This window comes from Homo sapiens, chromosome 12 (assembly GCF_000001405.40).
Source record: "Homo sapiens chromosome 12, GRCh38.p14 Primary Assembly".
In the NCBI taxonomy this organism is placed as follows: Eukaryota; Metazoa; Chordata; class Mammalia; order Primates; family Hominidae; genus Homo; species Homo sapiens.
The window spans coordinates 109,306,349-109,332,956 of NC_000012.12; the positions used below are offsets into that span (position 1 = coordinate 109,306,349).

The 26,608-nt window shown below is 44.3% G+C and overlaps 2 protein-coding genes across 4 annotated transcripts in view, besides 1 other annotated feature; one reads left to right on the top strand and one right to left on the bottom strand.

The window, feature by feature from the left end:
* FOXN4 (forkhead box N4) overlaps nucleotides 1-2,936 on the bottom strand; it is a 31,307-nt gene extending 28,371 nt beyond the window's left edge. For all 3 annotated transcript variants that reach the window (NM_213596.3, XM_011537922.3, XM_011537923.3), the window contains exons 1-2: nucleotides 2,771-2,936; nucleotides 1,888-1,976 (exon numbers count right to left, since the gene is read on the bottom strand). In NM_213596.3, the coding sequence (NP_998761.2) occupies nucleotides 1,888-1,973 (86 nt within the window). In that variant the 5' untranslated portion in view covers nucleotides 1,974-1,976; nucleotides 2,771-2,936. The remainder of the gene's footprint in view (nucleotides 1-1,887; nucleotides 1,977-2,770) is intronic.
* A 1,183-nt stretch (nucleotides 2,937-4,119) lies between these two features.
* Nucleotides 4,120-26,608, top strand: part of MYO1H (myosin IH) — a 137,912-nt gene continuing 115,423 nt past the window's right edge. Inside the window, exons 1-2 of the mRNA XM_011538223.3 lie at nucleotides 4,120-4,352; nucleotides 5,392-5,531. The gene's annotated coding sequence lies outside the window, so the exon portion shown is untranslated. The remainder of the gene's footprint in view (nucleotides 4,353-5,391; nucleotides 5,532-26,608) is intronic.
* Nucleotides 6,152-6,352: a silencer, noted in NCBI's record as "peak1941 fragment used in MPRA reporter construct". NCBI's record gives its function as "represses an SCP1 promoter by STARR-seq MPRAs in K562 erythroleukemia cells {active_cell/tissue: K562}" and the evidence as "EXISTENCE:reporter gene assay evidence [ECO:0000049][PMID:32103011]".

Consider the following 26,608-nt stretch of genomic DNA (forward strand, 5'->3'; position numbering starts at 1 on the left):
TGGGCTTTGAACCTGCACGTGTCTGAATCCTAGCAATTGTTCTCACTCTCTGACTCCCCTATCTCCAGTGCTTTTAAGGGGCGCTTTTAGGCAACAGTAAGATTCAATGTCTTTGAGCTCTTAAAGCCAACCTGGAGGAAGGATGCGCTCGCCCAGGCTTGCAGCTAGGAGGGCAGAAGTAGATTCACCCTGGATACATTCAGTGCCTGCTGGGTGTCAGGTGCCTTCATAGATAATATGATACATATATCATTTAACCCTCCAGAGCTAGCTTTTACTATCCCCATTGCACAAAACTATGAAAGTTCACAGGTGAATCTGCTCATAATTGGTGAATGGCAGAGCCAAAAATGATTACTAAATTGTCATAACAACTCCATGCAGTGGGTATTATTTCTATCCCCATTCTACAGATGAAGAAGCTGAGGCTCAGAGAGCTCCACGTAGCCAGAGAAGTTGGGATTATAATGGACTTGAGAGCCTAAGCTGCTAACCCTTACACTGCCACTAAATCACTTGGCATTATTTAAACCCTGAGAGTGCTGGAAGGAAGCCTAGAGGCCCTTGGCTGTGTGATCTTGGGAGAAGCCATTTCATTTTTCTAAGCCTCAGTTTCCTCACCTATACAACAGGGCTCATCAGAGCAACCTCCCGAGATGAGGTGAGTGATGGGGGATGGCACACAGTAGGTGCTTGCAAACTGCCACGTACCTGGCCCCAGCTCTGCACACAGCAGGCTCTCTGCAAATATCTGTTTGAATCTGTGTCCTCGTTTGGATCTCAGAAGGCAGCTTCCAGGCCCACAGCCCTCAGGAAGCAGCCTCCCTCTAATTGCGGGCTGCGGTCTGTCCCAGCAGGCACTCCTGGTGAGTTGCAGTGACCCCGGGGGGGCCAGACAAACCCTGGGTAAACAGGGCTGATAGGAGGTGACAGCCTGCTCTTCCCAGGCCAGCCCTGGTCCTGTCCCCATTCCGTAATCTGGACTGTGCCCCCTCAGCCTACAGACATGTTGCTTGCTCTGTCGGGGGAGCCCTGGAAACGAGGTCAGGGCTCCCTGGCCTCAAGGGGAAAGAGGCCGGGAGGGGACTCCAGGTCCTTCCTTTTCCTCCTTTTCCCTCCTGGAGACCTTGGACAAGCCCTTTCCCCTTTCTTGGCCTCAGTTTCCCCAACTGTAAAAAAAATAGGGGGTGCGCAGACTGGTTGACCTCCTAAAGGCCTTTTTGGCTATGATGTTTGAAGACAAAAAAAGACAGAAGGGCTCTGAAGGCTTCCATGCATCCTCTCAGTTGTACCTTGCTTCACCCTGTTTCAAGGCCTCAGTTTCCATCTAATTTACTCTTCAAACACATGAGGCCTAGAAGAAACCTTAAGATCATCTACTTCAACAAGATCAATTAAATGATGAGGAAGTGAGGCCCAGGGCAAAGGACTTGCTGAATGTCACACAGCCTGGCTGAGAACTTAGCATATCTGACTACTTTCTTAACATCTGTGGAGGATAGAACCCAATTCCTCCCAGAAGGTTTTTTTTTGGCAGGGGGTGGGGGAGCATTTCCCACAGCCCCCATTAAGGCCACTGGAGGGGAAGCAGTAGCTGCTATTGTCATCTTAACATTCACCAGGATGCCCAAACAGTATCAAATGCAGAAACGGACCTCTTTTGGAGGGGACAAGAGACAGCAGGCATTTCGTGGTCCCACTGGGCCAGGTTGTGGCCCAGACACCCTTAGCAAGACCAACATTGAAATCAAGACTTTCCAGCTCTCCCGCAAAAATCACAGAATTGAACATAACAATAGTTCTTGGGCAGTTTCAGAAACCATAAACAGCATACAAACACTTTGAGCAATTAAAAAATATATAGTTTGTTATTGTTGGAGCCCTCACCTGTATTCCTGTGGAGAGGGGTGGTGATTTTGCCCTGAGTTTCGAATAATTCCTGACATTATGGATGAGGTGTCACTTTCTATCATCTCCTTGGGAAAAGACAAGCAGAAAACAAAGCTCCCATCAGCGACGATATGGACAGGGCAGAAACCCACAGTTTTCCCGCAATTCAGAAAGATGGAGCACAATCAACTCACAGAACACTTTTTTTTTCTTTAAAGAAAAAAGTTCTAGAGGATTCCTGGGCATCTCAGGTCACTTTCCCAGGGCAATTCTACAGCGTTTTAGAAACAAATGAAGAGAATGAAATGAAATTCCCGGTTCTTTCGAATTAATGGGGGAAGAGCAAGGGAAGCTCTAGAATCCAAATGTCAAACCTGGAAAATGTGGACTCACAAAATAGGAATCAGAAAAACGATTTCCTTCCAAGCCTTATATTTTCAACCTCAGTTTGGTTATGATCACTTTCAAAATAAGGGGCAGCTGGATGTGACATGTGTATTTCTCTGGGGGAACAAATTCCCACTTGCAAAGGGAATAATCCCCGCAAGCTCCTGCCCTGAAATGCCTTCAGAAATGCCACAAGCCCTTACTGGAAAACCAATCCAACCACCCACGTCCCCGCAACACACAAACACTGCCTTAAAAAAATAATAAAAATATTTGAGTTCCCTAAGTTTCTCAAACTCCAAGCCTGAACCAACATAAAAGCCCACCAAAGCCTCAGTTCCGCCCCCAAAGCCATCGAAGGATTCCCAGGAAGGAGGAAAAGGGAGCAGAGGGAGGCGGCCCCGCAGCCCCTGCGCCCGGGTCTCTACCCTGGAAATGCAATGCCCGGCATTGCCCGGGAGGAGGGAGCAAAGCCGACCCTGCAAGGCGGTACCTGGAGCCGATCCTCGCGGGGCCGCCGCTGCCGGCGCTCCGGGGGTGGGCAGGGGTTCCGGAGGGGGGCTCCCTCGCGCTCGCCCCTCGCGTTCCGCAATTTGGCCGCCGTCGCAGCTCGAACCGTTTTTAAATTTCCCTCTCTGGAGCTGTCCAGCTCAGAGCATGCGCAGTAGCCGTGCGGGGGGCTTTTCCCCAAGGGTCAGTTACAGGGCAGGGTCAAGGGGATTGCAGCGGGCGTTTCCCAGCAGCCGCGAGCCTTGCACGCCCCGGGGTTCTGGGGGGGGGGTGTGTGTGAGGGGGGCGGGGCGGAGGAGTGCAGGGGTAGGGACCCCTCTTCAAACTTTGCCAACAGTGACAACAACTGCATGCCCGAGAGCATGCGTTGAGGAGCAGTGGGAGGGTGATTTCGGCCAAGGGAATTAAGTTGCAAAAGGAGGCTGGGTGCATTAAAACTTGCAATCCCGCCTGGGGCAAAGGACGTGGGCGGGCGGAGAGATCTGTTGCAACCCCCTCTCTCCCCCAAAGTGGAGGACGGGCCGGGAGGCAGAGACGGGGCCCCAGGTGGACGCGGATTCGGTCCACCTGTCCCTTTAAGAAAGTTGCGCCCGCGCGGGCTGGCGCGCAGCGGGAGGGGGCTGCGGAGCGGGGCGCGGGGCGCCTCCACCTGCTGGGGCCGCGAGGGGGGGCCCGGGCCCAGCGCGGCGGCGAGGCGAGGAGGGCTCCCCGGGACTGCGCGCTGCGCCCCCCTGTCCCGCGAGGAGGGTGAGCCCGCCCGGAGCGAGTGCGGCGGGGCTCGGCGGCCCCGGCAGCCGCGACGACGGCGACGGCGGTGGCGGTGGCGGTGGCGGCGGCGGCGGAGGCGGAGGCTGCGGCGTTCGGGGTACGGCGCCGCGAGCCCAGCGCAGCCGTTGGGGGCAGTGGCCCGCGTGTGCAACCGCGCTCCCTCCCTTCCCCGCCGCCCGGCCCGCGCCGCCGCTGCCCCGCCCCGCCTGGAGCCAGCCGCGGGAAAGGTGGCGCGGACCGCGGACGGCGGCGGGGCCCAGAGCGGGCAGAGGTCTCCACAGGCCCCTTAGGAGGCTTGGATGAGTTTGGTCCCCTGGAAAGTTTGCGTTTCTGGCGCCCTAACTCTCAAGCCTCCGTTGCAGTAATTGCCACGGCAGCAACGATATTAGGCACGGCTACCCCCATTCTTTCGTTACTTATTGACGCCTGCTTCTGGGTTCTTCTTCGCATCAGCCCTTGATGACATAGCATGGTCCTCCTTTTGCATGGGGGGAACCCAAAGCCCCGAGCGGCAGTGAGTGGGTCGGCGGCGCACGGGCAGAGCGCGGGCTCCCGCACCTCCCCAGCTCGCGTACTGCACGTGGACCTCTGCGCCGCCCCCACCGAGTGAGGCTCAGGCACCCGAAGCGTCTGGAGTTGTTTTGAGGCTGTCCTCGCGTTATCTACTTCGCAGCAGGCAGGGGACCAGTGTCCCCGCACCTGTGACTGTTTTTTTTTTTTTAAACCCAGTGTTTAAGTTCAGGAAGAACTCAGGGCTCCCCTGGACTGGGTGTGCCTGGATTTCAAGTTCTATTCAGGTGGGCTGTGACCTTGGCACTGGTCCATGTCCTCACAAATGGTTTTCTGGTAGCACCTGGACGTCCTTCCTCCTTTCTTCTCTGCCAGGAGTAAATAGATCAGCTTTCATTCTCTAGGGAGGAAAAAGATGTAGTTTACAGATGTTAGTTGAGGTCACAGTCATGAAACTTTCTCAGTTTTCATCTCCCGCGACCAGCATGTATTTAAAATGTGTGTTTTGACCGGTTAGGAAAGTGGTTTACATAGTTTATGTTGCTTTGAATGTCCCTGAATGACATATAATTAATTCACCAGTAAAGTTGTAAGCATTCAAAGCATTTGGGTTTATTTCTGTTAATCCTTCTTGGAGTTGTAAGGAAACGTGGGTGACTTGACAACCTCCTTGTGAGGTCACAGTCATTTTCATTAAGGTGTAATTTTATATCTTCAGAATGGTTTGGAAAGAAATTGTCTCTTCTGAAAGCTGATGGATTCAGTAAAGTTTTTAAAATAAAAGGCATCCAGTCTGTGAGTTCTGTAGACTCATGAAATATGGAAAAGAAAAGCAAGAATCCTTCACTAAAAGACAGCCCCTCCCACTAAAAAGGAGTGGGGTGGGAGGTTGAGGGTGTTGGGGAGGCCATTTAATTAAAAAATTGAGATTTTTGAGTTCACTGCTTCAGGCCTGGTTGGTAAAAATATTGCCACTAAAACACCTACTGCTACAAAACCCAGGGAACTTAACAAAAACACTGCTTTCGCTTTGTTAGATCAATCTGTTTTTCCCTTATATAAATACATGGCATTTTTCAATTGTAGTAGGTCACCTGGGGTGAAATCAGAACCATAAAATGCAAGGCTTAGGAATCTTTATTTTTTAATAAGTGCCTCAGGTGATTTTATGGTCAAGCAAATGAGGACACCTGTACTAGGTGATGCTTTCACTGAGCTAAAGGCGGCCAATACCCACCTTTTTTGTTTTGTTTTGTTTAAATGAAAGAATGTGAAATTCACCTGCGTCCATAGCTTCATTACACATTATCATTTGCTCCGGTGTAGGGAGAGGATCCCAGGCCTTATATTGGTCCTGATTTCTTCAGATTCCCTATTAGCACGATTTCTACGAGGCCCAACACAAACCCAGTTTACCAGACCTCCGATTATACAAGAAATCTTGCAGAAGAAAGAAAAAGCAATAGGTATGTGGCTTTGGCTTTCCTTTCCAGTTCTATGCAGTGGAAAATGCTCTAATCTGCGTCTTGGTTGCTTAGGTTTGATAGTTAAGCAGTGTAGTTATCTGCCTGATCTGTTATCTGCATGGTCTGTTCAAAGCTAAGATGCCCATGGCTATGTAAGAAATATTTGTTCATGATGCTGATAAGCTTATAAATCAACTCAGTCATAACTGGGAACACCAGTTCCTCACATGCAATGTGTAGAAACAGTGTTTGTACTGAAGGATTAAGAGTATTAACTCACTTGGCAAGCTGAAAGCAGGTTTTATTTGATCAAGAAGTTCAGTTTTTTTTTTTGTTTGTTTGTTTGTTTTTGAGATGGAGTCTCGCTCTGTCATCTAGGCTGGAGTGCAGTGGCATGATCTCGGCTGACTGCAAGCACCACCTCCCGGGTTCACGCCATTCTCCTGCCTCAGCCTCCCGAGTAGCTGGGACTACAGGCGCCTGCCACCACGCCCAGCTAATTTTTTGTTTTGTTTTGTTTTGTTTTGTTTTGTTTTAAGTAGAGACGGGGTTTCACTGTGTTAGCCAAGATGGTCTCAATCTCCTGACCTCGTGATCTGCCCGCCTCAGTCTCCCAAAGTGCTGGGATTACAGGCGTGAGTCACCACGGCCCGGCCTAGAAGTTCAGTTTTATTATCAGGTCATGACCGTTTCTTCTCCTTTTTCCCAAGTCCTTGGCTTTTGCTTTGCTTATTGGTCTAGTTTTCCAATGGTGAGGAGGAAAAGGGAGTGAGGTCTGGAATATGTGATTTGTAGTAATGATCAGGTCTCTTTCTTTGACCCTGACCGCTGGCTTGGTCTAGTGAACTGCAGGGCATGTCTATGAAGCAGAAATACCAAGGTTTTTTTTGTTTGTTTTTTGTTTTGTTTTGTTTTTTTTTTTTTTAACTTGAACCATTAAATTAGAACCCTCCAGGGCCATGGCACCCTGGGCTGTGTCTGGCACATAGTACCCTGGAGATTTATAGGCACTTTTTTCCCTTGCTTTGTCAATTCCTAAAAGCTAGGTGATATTTTCTTATAAGAAAGTTCTCAATGGAGGCTGGGTGTGGTGGCTCAGGGCTGTAATCCCTGCACTTTGGGAGGCCGAGGCGGGTGGATGCTTGAGCTCAGGAGTTCGAGACCAGCCTGAGCAACATGGTGAGACTTTGTCTCTACAAAAAAAATAAACAAAAAATTAGCCAGGCATGGTGGTGCATGCTTGTAGTCCCAGCTACTTGGGAGGCTGAGATGGAAGGATTGCTTTGAGCCCCTGGAGGTTGAGGCTGCAGTGAGTTAAGATTGCACTACTGCACTCCAGCCTGGGCAACAGAGTGAGAACCTGTCTCAAAAAAACAAACCAAAAAAAACCCCACAAGTTCTCACAGGAGAGTTTATCCAGTGCCCCCTCTCCAAGGTGCATGCCAGTAATTTCGAATTCTGGTTTCCTAAGATGTACAGTTCCGTGGCACTGTGGAGCCGCCATTTAATGTCCAACAACAACTTCAGAAGATGGGAGCACAGATTATTTTTTTCCCCTTTAGGAGACCATGAAAATACACTGGTCATTGATCTCCGCTGCTGTTAGCATGACTGATATGTGTATGATCATTCTTTGGGAGTGCGATTGCAGAAGAAATGCTTATTGTTGTCATATGTCTTATTTAATAAGAGGATGCTAAACCCTTGGATGTTTCCGGGAAGGGAATGCTCTAATGTCTTTGCACATTTGTGATATCATCCTACAACCTCAGCCCAGATCCAGGTTCATCACTGTTCTGTTCTACTTCCCAGAAAAGTGGACATAGCAGCTAACAAAATCAAGCCTGTTATGGACTATGATCCACAAATGTGCACTGGGCAAGTTGCAAGAGCATTTTTTTTTTAATTCTTTTCCATCCTTTTATAATAACCTCATTTAATTTTGTGATGGTTTTAGTCAATATGTCCAGGCATTCCTTTATGAAAAGTGTTTTCTTTGGAGTTTTTTGTTTCTCGTTTTTTTAGACGGAGTTTCGCTCTTTTTCCCCAGTCTGGAGTGCAGTGGTGGGATCTTGGCTCAATGCAACCTCTGCCTCCCCGGTTCAAGTGATTCTTCTGCCTCAGGCTCCTGAGTAGCTGGGATTACAGGCGCGCACCACCATGCCTGGCTAATTTTTGTATTTTTAGTAGACACGGGGTTTTACCATATTGCCTAGACTGGTCTAGAACTCCTGACTTCAAGTGGTCTGCTCGCCTTGACCTCCCAAAATGCTGGGATTACAGGCGTGAGCCACCATACCTGGCCTTTTTTACTTTTTTTCTTTTTTCTTTGTCTTTTTTTTTTTTTTAAGCTTTTTAAAAAAAAAAATCTGGGCTGTCTCTTGGCTGGTATTACTGAATATCTATCTCCATTGTTATGCTGCTCATTGATACTCACCAGGCCCTGGAAAATTCTGAGCTACCTTCTGAATCATCAAAGACATAACAAATTGGCATCATTTTAACCTTAAGCATGTTTTATTGTTGGCTAGTGAATAATCCATGATATATTAACACAGTGATTCCATATGAATTAGAATATTTGCTCAAAACCACCCATTCCCTGCTGCTAGCAGGCTCTTTCAATAGGGTGACAGCCCTCTAGGAAAAGGGCTTCATGATGGCTCCGCTGTGAGGCAGACCAGGTTCAAGTCTCAAAGCTGTCCCTCCCCTAGTCCCCCTGGCTGAGTGTTTCTGGACAAGTTATTCCCTGCATCCTCACTTCCCCATCTCTCAAAAAGGAATACCACCACTCATCTTTCAGGGCTCTGAGAGGCTTAAAGACAGCACCTGATGCTAGAAGGTGCTCAACAGGCAACAGCTATGTTTCCAGGTGATTGTTTCTAAAGGCGCTTCTCCTTGTTCTGTAGCTACATGGGCCCAGAAAAAGTAAAGAATAATCAAGTTGGCTGGGCTCACACCTGTAATCCCAGCACTTTGGGAGACTGAGGTCAGCAGATCACTTGAGCCCAGGAATTCGAGACCAGCTTGGGCCACATGGTAAAACCCCATCTCTACAAAAAAAATACAAAAATTAGCCAGCTGTGGTGACGTGTGTCTGTAGTTCCAGCTACTCAGGAGGCTGAGGTAGGAGGATCGCTTGAGCCCGGAAGGCAGAGGCTGCAGTGAGCCATGATCGTGCCACTGCATTCCAGCCTGGGCTACAAACCAAGACCCTGTCTCAAAAATAAAATAAAAAATATTCAGGGCCCTTGTCTTCTGCCCTGAATCCATTACCTCACCCAATTTAAGATCTTGCCTTCATTTTCCATCAGGAAATTCCATTCACCAATCACCAATCAAGGAAAAGCTGTCTTGCCTCTGAATTCTATAGCTGATTGAATTTGGCCACTTTGTGTATCTCTTTTAGTGTTATTTTCTCATATCGTGCAGGATTATTGCTCTAGCCATTGGACCTATGTTATAGGTGCATTTATATATAATTCCATATCTAATCTGGGTCTACATTATTAGACTGGGACTATTACTCTATTCTGTATTCTATTTTCTTTGTATGTGATTTTCTATTTTTTCAAATCAGGGATCCTGAGCCAGGGATCTACAGGCCACATTCAGCCACAGACAGGCTTTGTTTGGCTCACAGGTTTTCTTTTAAAATTTTTGAATTAGATGCTAGAATTTTTAAATTCTACACGTTGGGGTTTTTTCTTTAAAAATCGAAAAGTTGGCCACACTAGGCCCACGATCCCTCAAGATAGCTATCAGCTGGGACCAAGTGCAGCTTGCCTCCTGTTACAGGGCTGGTCCCAGGGTTTTCAGTATGCCCCAGACCCTACCAGTCCTTATCACCCAATCCCAAGACTTGGGCCTTTGCCATTTTTCTTGGAACATGTCTTTCTTTGGTCTTATAATACAGTGAAGACAAAAATAAAATATCTTCTGTGTCTGTGTTGCTATCAAAATTTCAAAAATTGTCAGTAGCTAATACAAAGAATGAGTTATCCTCTCAAACAGCTTACTCTGCCCAACGAGGTGCTAAGTTCTATACATCTCGTTCTGACTTCCTGATGATGCTGTGAGGTGGGTGTTTGGTGCTTTTGCTTTCTTTAGGTTTGATTTCAAATAAGTATATTCTTCTTTGTAATATATTTTGAAATTCATGGTAACTCTTGATTAGAATAATATCTTTTATGGAATAAACTAAGACAAAAATAAGAGTGTTACATGAAAATGCATAATTCCTCTGCATGCTTCAAGCCACCTCTTTTTTATGTCACAGATTGATTTGGGTGGGTGGGGGGGAGCTCTTCCTTTGTCCACAAAAGGGCCTTTTTAAATAGTTCATTGCTCAACTGAGAATCCAAACTTGTACTTTTCACTGCAAACAGCTTTATCCTGCAAACACCCAGCAACCGTGAGTGGTTTTAAAGAACTGCTTAGAGAACTTTCTTTCAGTCTTACTACTATTGTGTGTTCGGATCATGCTCCCCAGTAACAAAAAGCAGCGTGTTCACTCACCAACAGCCCATTCCCAAGATTCTAGATGGGGCCTTTCCCATCTCTTCCCATTTGTGTCTGAAGTGAGGTGAACGTGAAACCAGGGCGTATAAACTTGTTCCAATATAGCACTCCCCAGATACTTGCCTCATAACAATCCTGGCTGTTTGTTTTAGAAATGGTAATGTATCATTGTAACAAATTATACTTAAAAATCATTTAGTGTGAAATTGCAGATTAATCCCATAGGGATGGGGTATTAACAATCCCCCAGCCTTTTGGAGCATACAGATGGTGAATCTAGGGTTTACAATAGGAACAATCGCTGATTACATGCATGGGTGTAACGGACAAAAAGACCCCCACAACTTGGGCCTGGAGAATACGGTGGAGGTCCTAGCGCCTGACTTGTTTGGGACCCTCGGGTCCCTAAGAATGTGTTTCATCATCTTGCATATGTGAAATTCTGCAGTCTGTTCTGTGAGCTTTGAAACCTACCAAGTGCATATATAGAAATGTTCTTTCAGTGTGCTTAGCTTTTGTGCTTAGATTCCATTTGAATTTGTTTAAAGAGCAACTGCACAGTGGAGGAGGCAGTGAGGGTTTGGTAGATGTGCTTTGCTGATAGTTCATTATCAAAACCATACCTGCAGATTCACTAATCATCAGGAAGGAAGTTGTCATGCATTGCATGAGCTGGGATGTGTTGATTGCCTCAAAAATTAATCTGCCCTTGAGATGAAAAGGACTGACTCTGAAATACAATTCTCCTGATTTTGAAACTGTCACTTGCCTGACTCACTGTAAACTCCATGACATGCTTGATGTTGAGAATGAAAATGGCACACTTATACGCACAATCTTGAATGCAGATCACTTTACAGTAGTGGCCAGCCAGTATGTGCTGGAGACTGAAATAACCAAGTAATAAGTCTGTTTCTATTTAAATAATTTAATTTTTTAGAGAAACAGTGTCTCATTACCCAATTGTTCACTAAAAATTTAAATCAGAGAGTAACCATTTCGATAGTAATTTAAGTTCAAGTAAGTTCTCCTAATCTCTATTTGATTTCAGATGCAAAGATGAGAAATAACTTTGCAGTCAGGAGAATATATTCTCAGAGAAAAATACACTTCCCCTGGCCTTTTTCAGGGCTTCTCAAGAAACCCTTTATTCCAATGAACTGTTGTTTATCCTAAGTATTATTTTTCCACCCACCTTTTTGATGTAGGGCTCACAGCAACATAAAAGTACAGGCAATGTTGCACCTGAATGTCTGTGTCTGGCTGAAGACAGAGCTTTGTTTCCTTTTAGGGATACAGCCTCCACTCTGGTTTTAAGGCTTATCCCTGAACCCAGCCAGGGATTTGGGACAGCGTTGGACCAGCTGAGTATTAATGACAGTGTCCTCTCTATTGGGCCAAGTAATTACCCTCCCAGAAGGGCTTTACAGCTCTGTCTTGAGAGGATGCTTGTAAGCTTCTCAGGGTAATTCTAGAGGTGCTGTGCAACTGGTCCTCGTTTCAACTGTGTCTCTCAGGCACTGGGTCTGGATAACATCTTGTTCAGAATGACCAGGGTAGCCTTTGTCGTCATGGTTATCAATGACATTTATGACATTATGCAGCAAGATTTATTCCCTGGAAAAAGTCTGTTCTGTCAGGTTTAAAACGTACATTAAAGTATCGAACAAAACATATAGTTGTTGGTACATAGCTTAAAAAAGCAAGGAGTGGTCAAAGCTGAACAAATTTAGGTTATAACCCAAAGTATAAAACAAGTATCTGTGAGTAAATGCTGATTAAAGAAATATTTACATGGAGGAGAAGTAACAAATATTTCTTAGAATCCCAATGTAACCATATTTCTTATGCTACATTAGAACAAGTTTATATTTATTATAAAATAAATATTTCTTAGAAAAGAATTTATAAATATTCCTTATAAATGTAGCTGCTCCTTCCCCTAGGAGGTAGAGGCTAATTTTCCCTTCACTCCTTCCCTTCACTGTTTGGCTGGTCTTGGTGATTGGCCTCCAAATAACAGAGTATGGAGAGGAATAAAAAGTAGCTTTGCAGTGGAGCAGGCTGGCACACATGACCTTGACCAAGTGATAAAAGTTAAGGTCAGCAGCACTGTCAGTGGCTCTCATGCTTCCCCAATAAATGATGAAGGCACAGAGGTGCTTCACCTCCATGCTATTCTTCCCAAAAATCTATAACCCCAGTCAACTCATGAGGAAAAACATCAGACAACCCCAAGTTGAGGCACATTCTACAATAGACTGGACCAACACACTCCAAAATTGTCAAGGTCATGAAAAACAAGGAAGCAGGAGACACTGTCCCAGACCAGAAGCGACTGGGTGGGCATGAATGCAGTGTGGTGCCCTGGGTTGGATCCTGCAGCAGGAAGAGAACATTTCTGAGGAAGGTGGTAAAGTCCAAATCAAGTCTGGAGTTTACATAGGAATGTGCCAAAGTGGATGTCTTACTTGTGAGAAATGTACCATGGTAATGTGAAATGATGGGCGGGAGTGAGGGGAGGGGAAATCAGGTGCGAGGCATTTGGGAACTCTCTGCGTTTTTGGTTTTGTTTTTTTTTTTTTTTTTTTTTTGCAACTTTTCTGTCATTCTAAAATCATTCAAAACCAAAAAGTGTATTTAATCAAGAAAATGATACATCCATGTTCTAAGCGTATACCCAAAACAATGGAAAGCAGGATCTCAAAGAGATATTTGCATACTCATGTTCATAGCAGCATTATTCACAATAACCAAAAGGTGGAAGCAACCCAACAACCCAACTGCCCATCAACAGATGAATGGATAAACACAACGTGGCTTCTCCATGCAATGGAATATTCAGTCTTAACAAGGAAATTCAGGCACGTGCAAGAGCATGGATGAACTTTGAAGATGTTACACTAAGGGAAATAAGCTAGTCACAAAAAAGGCAGACTGCATTATTCTACTTATATGAGATACACACAGTAGTCAGACTCAGAAACAAATTAGAATGGTAGTTGTCAGGGGGCTGGGGGAAGGGAAAAAATGGGAGTGCTTGTTTAATAGATATAGAGTTTCTGATTTTCAAGATGGAAAAACTTCTGGAGATCTGGTGCACAAGGTGAATGTAACACTAATGAACTGTACACTTAGAATGGGTTAGTTGGTAAACAATGTTAGGTGGTGGTGATGGTGGTATTTTTTTACCACAGTTAAATCAAGGAAATGAGTATAACAATTATACAAGTTAGGAAAACCTTTGCTTGCCATGAGAAAGGTCTATGGCAAAGTTCTCAGTCTTGGTGTTAAAGACATTTGGGGCTGGATGATTTTTTGTTTGGGGGCACTTTCTGGGTGTTGTAGGATATTTAGTGGCTCCCTGGATTCTAGCCACTAGATGTTAGATGTTGCCCACATCATAACGAGCAAAACTACCTCCAGATAATGATAAATGTTCCTTGGGGCTCAGGAGCAAAATTGCCCCCAGCTTAGAACCACTGGCCTTAGAAGACTGGAGAGGAAACAGAACAGATTGTTTTTGTTTTGTTTTGTTTTGTTTTGAATTACTAAATTGGCTAGACTTTCATTGTCTAATATGGTAGCCATGAACCATACGGGGCTATGTAAATTTAAAATAAAATTTATTGGCCAGGCATAGTGGTTTATGCCTGTAATCCCAGTGCTTTAGGAGACTGAGGTGGGAAGATCACTTGAGCCCAGGAGTTTGAGACCAGCCTGGGCAACTGAGAGATTGTCTCTACAAAAAATAAAAATTAAAAATAGCTGGGCATGGTGGGAGGTTCCTGTAGTCCCAGCTGCTTGAGAAGCAGAGGTAGGAGGATCACTTGAGCCCAGGAGTCTGAGGCTGCAGAGAGCTATTATTGTTCCACTGCACTCCAGACTGGGTGACAGAGCAAGACCCTGTCTCAAAAGAAAAAAACGGGCCAGACGTGGTGGCTCACACCTGTAATCCCAACACTTTGGGAGGCCAAGGTGGGGGGATCACTTGAGGACAGGAGTTCCAGACTACCCTGGCCAACATGATGAAACCCCATCTCTATTAAAAATACAAAAAAAAAAAAAAAAAAAAAAGCCAGGTGTGGTGGCATGTGCCTGTAATCTCAGCTATTTGGGAGGCTGAGGCAGGAGAATCACTTGAACCCAGGAGGCAGAGGTTGCAGTGAGCTGAGATCGCACCACTGCACTCCAGCCTGGGCAACAGAGCATGAATCTGTCTCAAAAAAAAAAAAAAAAAAAAAAAATTGCTTTTGTATGTGAAGAAAAGTAAGCTGAGTTATTGCCTCATCTCATATACAAAGGTAAATGCTAGAAGGGTTTAGAAGACAAACTGTAAAAGGATTAATATCAATCTGAAACAATATATAGGAGAATATTGGGAAGGACTTGTTAAAGAAGATCCTCGGCTGGGCGTGGTGGCTCATGCCTGTAATCCCAGCACTTTGAGAGGCCGAGGCGGGTGGATCACGAGGTCAAGAGATCAAGACTGTCCTGGCCAACGTGGTGAAACCCCATCTCTACCAAAAATAACAAAATTAGCTGGGCATGGCGGCGGGTACCTGTAATCCCAGCTACTTGGGAGGCTGAGGCAGGAGAATTGCTTGAACCCAGGAGGCAGAGGTTGCAGTGAGCCAAGATCGTGCCACTGCACTCCAGCCTGGGCGACAGAGCAATACTCCATCTTAAAAGCCCTCAAAAACACAAATTAAGGGCATAAGTGGGTAAATCTGCCTGCATAAAAATTAAAGACTTATGTTCAACTAAGAATACCACACACAATAGACAGGTGACAGACTCAAAGATCTTTGCAATGTCTAAACCAGCCAGGGATTCTGCTCTAGACCTAGAATACAAATGGAAATACTGAGGCCAGGCATGGTGGCTCACGCCTGTAATCCAGCACTGGGAGGCTGAGGCAAGCAGATCACTTGAGGTCAGGAGTTCGAGACCAGCCTGGCCAATATGGTGAAACCCCCTTGTCTCTACTAAAAGCACAAAAATTAGCCGGGTGTGGTGACGGGCGCCTGTAATCCCAGCTACTTAGGAGGCTGAGGCAGGAGAATCGCTTAAACCCAGGAGGTGGAGGTTGCAGTGAGCCGAGATTGTGCCACTGCTCTCCAGCCTGGGCAATAGAGCGAGATCCCTCTCAAAAAAAAAGGAAACACTGCAAATCAATGGAAAAGATAGGAAACTCGTAGAAAAGGTCAGGTGTTCATATGACTGGACCATTTCCAGAATGAGAAGCTTACTGGCTAATAAACATTTGTGGTTAATCACTCTTCTATAAGCTCATCAAAAAATCAGATTAATATAAAATTAAACAACAGAATACCACTTTATATCCATCAAACTGGCAAAGATTGTACAGCCTGATAATACCACCTAATGGCAATGATACAGAGAAATAGACATACAGGGAAAATTGTAATGCACTTTTGAGGGACTGATGACTACAACCATTCCAGAAAAGAGTTTTGCAGAACACGATGTAATTACGCATGCAATGCCCTTATGACCACTCTCACCTCTGGCCATATACCCCCAAGAAATTGTACACAGGTCCCAAAGGGAACACATCTGAAGGTGTTCATCATGCTGTTGTCTGAGGCAGTGATGAGTTAGAATTGACCTAAATATCTATCCTTGGGGAAGTGGATGGGTTAGGCAAGTGGATCAAGCAGAGAGCCAGATATGAGCTGGCTCTCTTTATGGTCTTTAAGACCATAAAGATGTTTACTGCTATATGAAACACTTGCATATAAATTGGATCTGTCTTCTTTATAAAGATCTCCTGGAAGCCCCACCTAAACACTCCTCCATTAATCTTTGCCTGGAGCTGAAACTGGTTGCCTCTCCTAGCTCCAAGAGAGCCTTGAACGTCCAACACTTTACATTTCCAGCCTTTCAGAGACAAAGAACGAAGGGGTCCCTGCCTGGCCTCTGAGTCACCAGTCTGTAGTATCTACAATGCATTTCAAAATACTCAAAATATTAAGTGTTTTAATTTAACCGTATTAATGCATATTGATTTATACATATTTTCAGTGGGGTCACAGTTACTGCTTTTTGTTTGTTTGTTTGTTTTAGGATGTGGGACAAAGCCAAGTAATGTTCTTGCTTTAACTACACCTATAAGGCCAGGCATGGTGGCTCACGCCTGTAATCCCAGTACTTTGGGAGGCTGAGGCAGGTGGATCATGAGGTCCAGGAGTTCAAGACCAGCCTGACCAATATGGTGAAACTCTGTCTCTACTAAAATTACAAAAATTAGCTGGGTGTGGTGGCAGGCACCTGTAATCCCAGCTACTCGGGAGGCTGAGGCAGAAGAATTGCTTGAACTTGGGAGGCGGAGGTTCTAGTGAGCCAATATCACGCCACTGTACTCCAGCCTGGATGGCAGAGGGAGACTCCGTCTCAAAAAAAAAAAAAAAAAAAAAAATCACCCCTGTAATCCTAGCACTTTAGGAGGCCGAGGCAGGCAGATCACGAGGTCAGGAGATCGAGACCATCCTGGCCAACATGGTGAAACCCCATCTCTACTAAAAATACAAAAATTAGCTGGGCATGGTGTTGTGCGCCTGTGGTCCCAGCTACTCGGGAGGCTGAGGCAGGAGAATCGCTTGAACCTGGGAGGCAGAGGTTGCAGTGAACTGAGATCACGCCACTGCACTCCAACCTGGGCGACAGAGTGAGACTGTCTCAAAAACAAAAAACAATACCCATAATGAAATGTCTGTAATTCCTAGGGTCAGTTTCTTTATTGTGGAATGGGGACTTAACACGTGCAAAGCAATTTGAGTACAGAATACCTTCTAGGTTTTTATCCTAGATCTTTTACAGTTTTCTCCCCTTACCAAATTTAATGGAAATTAACCCACAGGCTACATTCTCTTTGTAATACACATTGAAAGATGTCTATGCACTCGGGTTCCATTGGTTTGTCCGATGTTGAAATGAATTAATTAAAATAGCAAGTGTCATGGGCACAAAAACAGAACATCCTTGCATTTCTGTTCCCACCAGCTGAGTTGAATTCTTATGAGTCACCTGTGTTTGTTGGTGGGAACAGAAATGCACGGATGTTCTAGAGAGCCCTGTTTCTCAAACTTGCCAGCCTCACTTAGGTCCCTTGAGGATCTTATTAAAAAGCAGATTCTGTTTCAGTTAAGTCTGGGAGAGGATCTGGGATTTTTCATTTCTAAGTGCTCCCAGAGGGTACTGATGCTGCTGGCCCCAGACCTAAGGTAAGAAGGTTCTAGAAGGTCTGCTGTTTTTGACAGTTCAGCATGCCTGGTAGCATCAATGTGTCCAACAGGGTATGGAAAGCAGTAACGAGTCGGGGTTTGATTCATAGAGGTCAGTTAAGAACGTCTATTCCTTATTGCTTCAGTTACTCCTGGGGAGTAATAAACCACCCCAAATTTAGTGACATAAAATCACCCTTTTATTCTCACCAACTTGGTGAGCAAGGAATTCAGAAAGTGTATAATGGTTGGTCAGATGTGGTGGCTAATGCTTGTAATCCCAACATTTGGGAAGCTGAGGCGGGAGGATTCCTTGGGCCTGAGTTTGAAATTAGTCTGGGAAACATAGTGAGACCCTGACTCAAGAAAAAAAAAAAAAAAGTGTTCAACAGAGCTGGCTTGTCTTTGGTCTTCAATGTCTGGGACCTCAGCTAGGAAGACCCCAAGGCTGGGGTGGGAGTGACTTGATAGTTGATCTCAAGTCATACTAAGACTCACTCTCATGCCTGGCTCCTGGACTCGGGGCACTAAAGGATGAGGTCAACTGACCAGAATGCCTACAGGTGGCCTTTCCATGCGCTGGGCTTTCTTACAGCTTGGCGGCCTCAGGGGGCCACATGCTGCAATGGAAGCTCTGTCTTTAATCTAGCCCCGGAAGCCACACAGTGTCCCTTCTGCCACATTCTGTTGGTTACAAGTAAGTCACAAGCCACCTAGATTCAAGGGAGAGAGTTACACTCTACCTTTTGATAGGGGAGTGGCAAGATGTAGAACAAGTGGGATGGGAGATACTGTTGTGAATGTCTTTGGAAAATCTAATCTGCCTAACTTATTTTATAAGCTTCCCCCTGCCATGATTAAGATGCTTTTGACAAAACACCACACCTCTTCAATGTGTCTCTTAGGTATTAAAATTGTGTAATTGATATTAGGGTCTAAAATTCTGCTCAGGGAGCCAAGAGTGAAGATAATGGGTGAACACTGATTTCTTTCTACATTTGTTACCTTATCTGAGAAAGAAAGTCTCAGTTCTCATTTCTTTTTCTTTTTCTTTTCTTTTTTTTTTTAAATTTTACTTTAAGTTCCAGGATACGTTTGCAGAATGTGCAGGTTTGTTAAATAGGTATACATGTGCCATGGTGGTTTGCTGCACCATCCAACCCATCATCTAGGTTTTAAGCCCTGCATGCATTAGATATTTGGCCTAATGCTCTCCCTGTCCTTTTCCCCTACCCTCCAACAGGCCCTGGTGTATGATGTTCCCCTCCCTGTGTCCCTGTGTTCTTATCGTTCAACTCCCATTTATGAGTGAGAACAAGTGGTGGTTGGTTTTCTGTTCCTGTGTTAGTTTGCTGAGAATGATGACTTCCAGCCTCATCCATGTCCCTGCAAAGGACATGATCTCATTCTTTTTATGGCTGCATGGTATTCCATGGTGTATATGTACCACATTTTCTTTATCTAGTCTATCATTGCTGGGCATTTGGGTTGGTTCCAAGTCATTGCTATTGTAAACAGTGCTGCAATAAACATACATGTGCATGTGTCTTTATAGTAGAATGATTTATAATCCTTTGGGTATATACCCAGTAATGGGATTGCTGGATCAAATGGTATTTCTGGTTCTAGATCCTTGAGGAATTGCCACACTGGCTTCTACAATGGTTGAACTAGAACAAGCGATGGGGAAAGGATTCCCTATTTAATAAATGGTGCTGGGAAAACTGGCTAGCCATATGCAGAAAACTGAAACTGGAACCCTTCCTAAAAATATCTTATACAAAAATTAAGATGATTAAAGACTTAAGTGTAAAACCCAAAACCATAAAAACCCTGAAAGAAAACCTAGGCAATACCATTCAGGACATACGCATAGGCAAAGACTTCATGACTAAAACACCAAAAGCAATTTCAACAAAAGGCAAAATTGACAAATGGGATCTAATTAAAGAGCTTTTGCACAGCAAAAAAAGCTAGCATCAGAGTAAACAGGCAACCTACAGAATGGGAGAAAAATTTTGCAATCTATCCATCTGACAAAGGGCTAATATCCAGAATCTACAAGGAATTTAAACAAATATACAAGAAAAACCCATCAAAAAGTGGGCAAAGGATATGAAGAGACCCTTCTCAAAAGAAGACATTTATGCGGCCAAGAAAACATGAAAAATAGCTCATCATCACTGATCATTAGAGAAATGCAAATCAAAACCACAATGAGATACCATCTCACGCCAGTCAGAATGTCTATTATTAAAAAGTCAGGAAACAACCAATGTTGGCAAGGCTGTGGAGAAATAGGAACGCTTTTACACTGTTGGTGGGAGTGTAAATTAGTTCTCATTCTTTAAGGCTTACACAAGACCATCCCTGATAGCAGTTCTTCGGTATTGGGTAAAGGCCCTGTCTAGAAGATATTTTCTGTGGTCCAAGGAGACTGCTATCTGAGGCCCTGTCAGCATGCAGCAGTGCTTACCTGAAGAGGTGAATCAGACTTCTCGGGCACAACCTGCTGGCCTGCCGGTGCCTGTCCAGGCATCCTCCTCATCCACCAGATGAATGATTCCATCACTGTCCAGTTGCCCAGGGCCCCAGAAGTTTGTATGTTTCTAGATCACTTCCTGCTGCATCCTCTCTCCCTACTTCCATGCTGTCTGTCATCCCTTCTTGGTCTTTCTTCTCCCATTCCCAGGCTAGTGGGTCTTGGGAACACACCATTCCTCCACATGGGGGATGAGGAAGGAACTCTTCATCCATGCTACCCCACATTCTGTTGGTTACAAGTGAGTAACAAGCCACCTAGATTCAAGGGAGGGAATTAGACTCTACCTTTTTTTTATATTTTATTTTATTTTATTTTATTTTATTTTATTTTATTTTATTTTATTTTTTGAGACAGCATCTCACTCTGTTGTTCAGTCTGAAGTGTAGTGGCACAATCTTGGCTCACTGCAACCTCCGCCTCCTGGGTTCAAGCAATTCTCCTGCCTCAGCCTCCTGAGTAGCCGGGATTACAGGCATGTCACCATCCCCGGCTAATTTTTGTATTTTTAGTAGACATGGGGTTTCGCCACGTTGCCCAGGCTGGTCTCAAATCCCTGGCTTCAAGCAATTCATCCACCTCGGCCCCCAAAGTGCTGGGATTACAGGCATGTGCCACCATACCCGGTCTAGACTCTACCTTTTGATGGGGGAATGGGCAAGGTTTAGAAGAGCAAGTGGGATGGGAGGCACTATTGTGACCATCTTTGGAAAATCTATTCTGCCAAACTTATAAACTTTCCCCCCACTCTATGAATAAGATACCTTGGACAAAATACACCTCTTCAATACATCTCTTAGATATTAACACTGTTATTACATTAGAGTTTAAAATTTTGCTCATGGAGCAAGGAGGAGGAGGGAACTCTTCCTTTATGCTACAGTAGAATGTGTCCCCAGCTCCTGTAGTTATTTAATTTTTCTTTTCTTTTTCTTTTTCTTTTTCTTTTTTTTTTTTTTTTGAGACAGAGTCTCCCTCTGTCACCCAGGCTGGAGTACAGTGGCTCAATCTCAGCTCCCTGCAACCTCTGCCTCCTGGGTTCAAGCAATTCTCTGCCTCAGCCTCCAAAGTAGCTGGGATTATGGGCACCCACCACCATGCCTGGCTAATTTTTTTTGTATTTTTAGTAGAGATGGGGTTTTACCATCTTGGCCAGGCTGGTCTTGAACTCCTGACCTTGTGATCCACCCGCCTCGGCCACTCAAAGTGCTGGGATTACAGGCGTGAGCCACCGTGCCTGGCCTTCTGTAGTTATTTTAAAAAGGAAGAAAAAGTGCTGGCTGGGTGCGACGGCTCACGCCTGTAATAACTGCACTTTGGGAGGCCGAGGGTGGATCACTGAGGTCAGGAGTTTGAGACCAACCTGGCTAACACGGCAAAACCCTGTCTCTACTAAAAACATAAAAATTAGCCAGGTGTGGTGGCAGGTGCCTGTGATCGCAGCTACTCAGGAGGCTGAAGCAGGAGAATCACTTGAACCCAGGAGGCAGAGGTTGCAGTGAGCAGAGATTGTGCCACTGCATTCCAGCCTGAAAGAGCAAAACTGTCTCAAAAAAAAAAAAAAAAAAGAAAGAAAAAAAAGAAAAAGTGCCTCTTCTGCCTGATGTGGTGTCTCCAAAGTGCTTTCTTCTAGAATTCAATTCAACCTAAAAATATTCTGGTCACTCGTAACTTAACAATAGCATAATAATAACTAGCATTTATTGACTGTTTGCTCAGTGCTGGGTCCTGTCCCAAATGCTTTCTATGCATCAACTCTTTTTAGACTCCAAAAGTATTTTAGGCTGATTGCATTGTTTGATATACCACTTAGAATTATTTAAAACTCAGAAGAAGGATGGTGATAGCTAAAAAGTCCCATCGTAGCTGCTTCACTATTGTCAAGATGTTTTGGTCTCTGAGTAAAATTCTGAGAATAATCATTGGGGATCATAACACACACACACACACGCATATATATATATATGCGTGTGTGTGTGTGTGTGATGCCTATGTGATTTACCTTAGTTTTTTTAAATTGGGGTGAAATTCTCATTACTGTAAAATTAGGTATTACCAAGTGAACAATTCAGTGGCATTTGGTACATTCACGATGTTGTGCAAGCAACATGCATTAATTCTTAATCCTTAGAACAAGCCTATGAGAGAGATGCTATCAGTACTCCTTTTATTTTATCTTATTTTTTAAGAGATGGGGGTCTTGCTTATGTTGCCCAAACTGGTCTTGAACTCCTGGGCTCAAGCGGTCCTCCCACCTCAGCCTCCCAAAGTGCTGGGATTACTGGTTTGAGCTGTTACACCTGGCTTTAGTATCCCTTTTAAACTGATGAGACAACTGAGACACTGTGCAGTTACAGAATAGGTCACAGAGCTAGGCTGTGATAATGCTGGCTCTGAACTTTTTGTTCCTTTCCCCTTCTGCATTTCATGCATTTTAATAAATCCAAAATAACATTGAAACTATAAAAAGAACATCTCTAAAAATGGATTTTCTTCTAATGTCGTTTTTTCCTGTTTTGCAGAGACATATCTTTTTACCTATATTTTCGCTAAATATTGTATCACAAGTATTTTCTTTTTTCCAGCTGTATTTGAGGTATTATTGACACATAAAATTGTATATGTTTAAGGTGTACAATGTGATGTTTTGATATACAAATATCTTGTGGAATGATTAGCATGATCAAGCTAATTAACACATTCTTGAAATTCGCTGGGAGAGTAGACCTTAAATGTTCTCAGCACACATAAAAAGTGGTAACTGTGTAAAGTGATGAGACTTTTGTTCCTAACAGTTGTGGTACATCAGCTCCCAGTAAAATAAAATCAGTTTTCTTTTTTTTCTTTTTTTTTTTTTTTGCAAATCTGTCTATGTTTTTAGGAACCTCCTTTCTTTATATGCACAAACTCTGTTAATTGGATGGTATTTTCAGTTTTGTACCTGATCTTCTGTTCCACGTGTTTATTGTATATATCTGTGTAGTTTATATGGGCAAGTATGCCCTAGATTGAAAAACAGCCTGTGGCCCACTGCTTGTTTTTATAAGTAAAGTTTTATTGTACAGCCGTGTTCATTAGTGTACAATATTGTCCACGGCTGCTTTTCAGCCACAAGAGGAGAGTTGAGTAGTTGTAACAGCCCTTTATGACCTGGAAAGCCTAAAATATTTCCTGTCTAACTCTTCCCAGAAAAATTCTGCTGAACCTTGCCTTAGGTAGGGTTGCTTTCTCTCTCTTGGGCTTAGGAAGGTGAACAGAGAGGGAGAGAATCTTTCCAAGGGAGGCTCTGGAAAGAACAGATTAACCAGTCATCCTCAGTGGGTGCTGAGATGAATTTTTGACTACTCGGGGATTGTGAGCTAGCCTTTTGTTACTTCTTATGCTAGAAAATGATTCAAAGAAGGCTTAAATGCAGGTGGTTGAAATAGCTCATAAACCAGGAGCTGTCTGTAGATCTTTTGGTTCCTGCCTTCCCTGAATAATGGCTTTTCCTTTCACTTATTCAACTAATAATAATTAACCACCTGCCAGTGTGTGTTCTTACCATGATGCTGTGCTCCTTAAAAACAATTCAACCTCATACATCATGTGCCAATTATATGCCAGTGATTATGCCGAGGCCTTGACAATAGAACCTCCTACACACTTGGACGATAGTATGCATTTGTTCCTAGAATTCCACGTTGTGATCAAGGCCAAGCACTGTGGGTACAGCTGTGGATAGGACAGCCGTAGTCTCTGCTTTCAAGGAATTTATGGGGGAGGAGGCAGATGATGAGTAAGTAAACAAGTGAATGGCAAGATAACTTCGGGCAGCATGGTGGTGAACCGGACTGGGGGCCTGGGACAGAAAACAAACATTTGTGGCAAAACTGGTGAAATCTCAATCAAATCGGGAGTCTAGTTAATGGTAATGTTAATTTCATTTCTTAGTTGTTCCCAGTGTACCAGGTTAGGTGAGATGCTAACATTAGGGGAAACTGAGAGAGGGTATATGGAACTGCCTGCACTGTGTTTGCAACCTCTCTGTAAGTCTAAAATTATTCCAAATAAAGTGTGTGTGTGTAGATACGTGGATGAAAACATGTACACACACACATACATATATACATACACACATGAAGCTGGCTATACTTTTTCAGTATTTTTAAAGCAATTACTTAAATGATACTGTCGTTATTATAAAATTTTTAATAGCAACAGACATACCACTTGGCTAACGATGTATATCTGAATGTGCCTGATGGACACATGTCTCGCAAGGTTACTCCTGTGCTTTGGAAGCTAAGGAACTTCCCACTTCCTCATTTAATAACTGGATTCGTAAGGGCTTCGTAAGCTTGAGTGACCCATGCTTTGTTGCCAGGTCTATTCCAGTGACCCCTACCAAGACCCCTGTCCCAATTCGTATATCAGAGAAAAATGAATCTATTTCAGGAACCATCAGTCCTCATTATCTCTAATTGGGTCTGGCGGCTGGAGACAGGCCTCATTATTTTTAATTGGGACCCATAGTTCTAGAACGAAACACCACCCAGTTTCATGCAGATCATGCCTGGATATTTGCTTGCAAGTTCAAAGTGAAATTGCATTGTGGGATTTCCAGGAAATCACACTATTTTTCTGCCCCTTTTTTCCCCCAGCTAACTTTACAGTTGTCGTCTTGTGTCGTCAGACTAAAAATAATATTTGAATGGGGACTGTCCGTGTTTATGTCGGAGGGGTTTTTAGCATCTGGGTGGTGGTCATGTAGATTTTTCTTTCAAAATTAATGAATATGATAATACGCAGCAATTTGACAGATTGCTCACTTAAGTATCATTTACATACTGCTTTGGGCATGGCGTTATGCCACGGATAAATTTCCCTTGCTTAAAGACACTCATTTTTGCTCATTTTTCTAATTTACTGTAGAGCAGGCAATCCTTCACAAATATATATGCTTTCCTGTTTTTTCATCATTATCCTGATGTTGCTAAAATCAGTCAGCACCTGACGCAGGAAATTCATTTTAGAAAATCCATAGCAGAGTCTGTCTTCACTCACTCTTGATTAGAGTTTTTAGTTGTCCCAGCTCTCCTAATATTTTAACACTCCAAGGCAGCAACACATTCTGTTTTTAATTTTTAACATGCTCTTCATCCCACCACATAGACACTGACCTTTCTTTAACAAGCTTGAATGCTTTCCAAGGCCTTTTGGGGACTTGCTTCCACTCAAGGTAGAAGTTCTGAGATTTGGCATGGGCCGAATCCCTTGAGAGAGTAGGAACAGACTGGGGTGCGGTGGGGCGGGGGTGGGGTGCTGAGAGCCTGAGACATTTTGCCAAACATTCAGACACAAAGTCTGGGCCCTCCTCGGAGCCAAGAGCTTCTTGTAAGAAAAGAAGACCACCCTGGAAGGAGGACTTCGGGAGCGGTAGCTTTCACTCTTTGCTTCCTCAGGGACACTTTTTAGACCTTTCAGGAAAGAGAAAAAGGCTGGGGCAGTCATTCCAGGGAATGTGAGAAGATGGATGGGGCAGTGGTTCATCCCTGCAGTTCTCCCGTGCAATTACTCTCCCTCCTGCAAACAGCTTGAAAATGTAGCTCCTGCATGACAGCTGGAGATAAGCTGCTTTTGTCTAATTTGTTCCTAATGCTTTTGCATTTAGTGCAATTCTGCTGTGTGTATACAGCCTAACCCTGTCATGTTTGAGATCCTCTTGAAATCTCTTTTTGTCTCCAGTACAAAGATCAGATTTTGGTGCTGTGTGCCTTTGGGTAAGCTATTTAACTCCTCTATGCTTTCATTTCCTTAATTTGAGCACGGGAATAATGTTATAACACAATCTATCTCATGGGGTGTCGTAAGGAGCAAATGATTTAAAATGTATAAAATACTCAGCACAGTGTCTGGCAGAGAGCAAGTGCTGTACTGGGATTTGCTATCTAACAGAGAGCAGTAGGATTTTCATGAACCTCAGTCCATTTTAAGCCAACTCCCAAGCTTAAGTTAGAATTGGTCTGCTTACTTGGAAAACAATGTAGTATTTGGAAATTGCAGAAGTTCTAAAGTTAAAGGTGATATGTCTGCCAGACAGCTAGAATCCTCCAATAGTGGTCAGAGCCCAGAAACAGGAGATGGGAAGATGACCCCTTCTCTCCTGCCCTTTTCCCCAGGACCAGTTTTGTTTCATCCCGGGCTTGTGGCATTTTGGATGAAGGGGGCCTGCCTTCAGACACAAGCTCTTCTGGCCCTTCCTAGGGGCAGACATCCTCATGTAGGGCTCAGGCCTAAGGCTGGAAACCAAGAGCTCCTTGTGGCCACAGACCAAGTGCCCTTGTGGCCGTTCCTGTCAAGGTCATCCATCTGCAACTGCATTGTGCCCTGGTGCAGCTTTTCATTTTCATTTTTATTTTCTTAGAGGCCAGGGTCTCGCTCTGTTGCCCACGCTGGAGTGCAGTGGTGCAATCCTAGCACACTGCAGCCTCAAACTCCTGGGCTCAGGTGATCCTCTTGCCTCAGCTTCCTGAGTAGCTGAGACTACAGGCACATGCCACCATAGCTGGCTAATAATTAAAAATTTTTATTGTAGAGATGGGGGTCTCACTATGTTGCCCAAAACTGGTCTCAAAGTCTGGGGCTTAAGCAGTCCTCCTGCCTTTCTTCCCAAGGTGCTAGGATTACAGGCGTGAGCCACCGTGCCCAGCCTGGTGCAGATCTTAATGCACATTTTTCTACACAAATGTTCCCCAAAGGCCAAATTTGGTGCCAGGTTTTATATG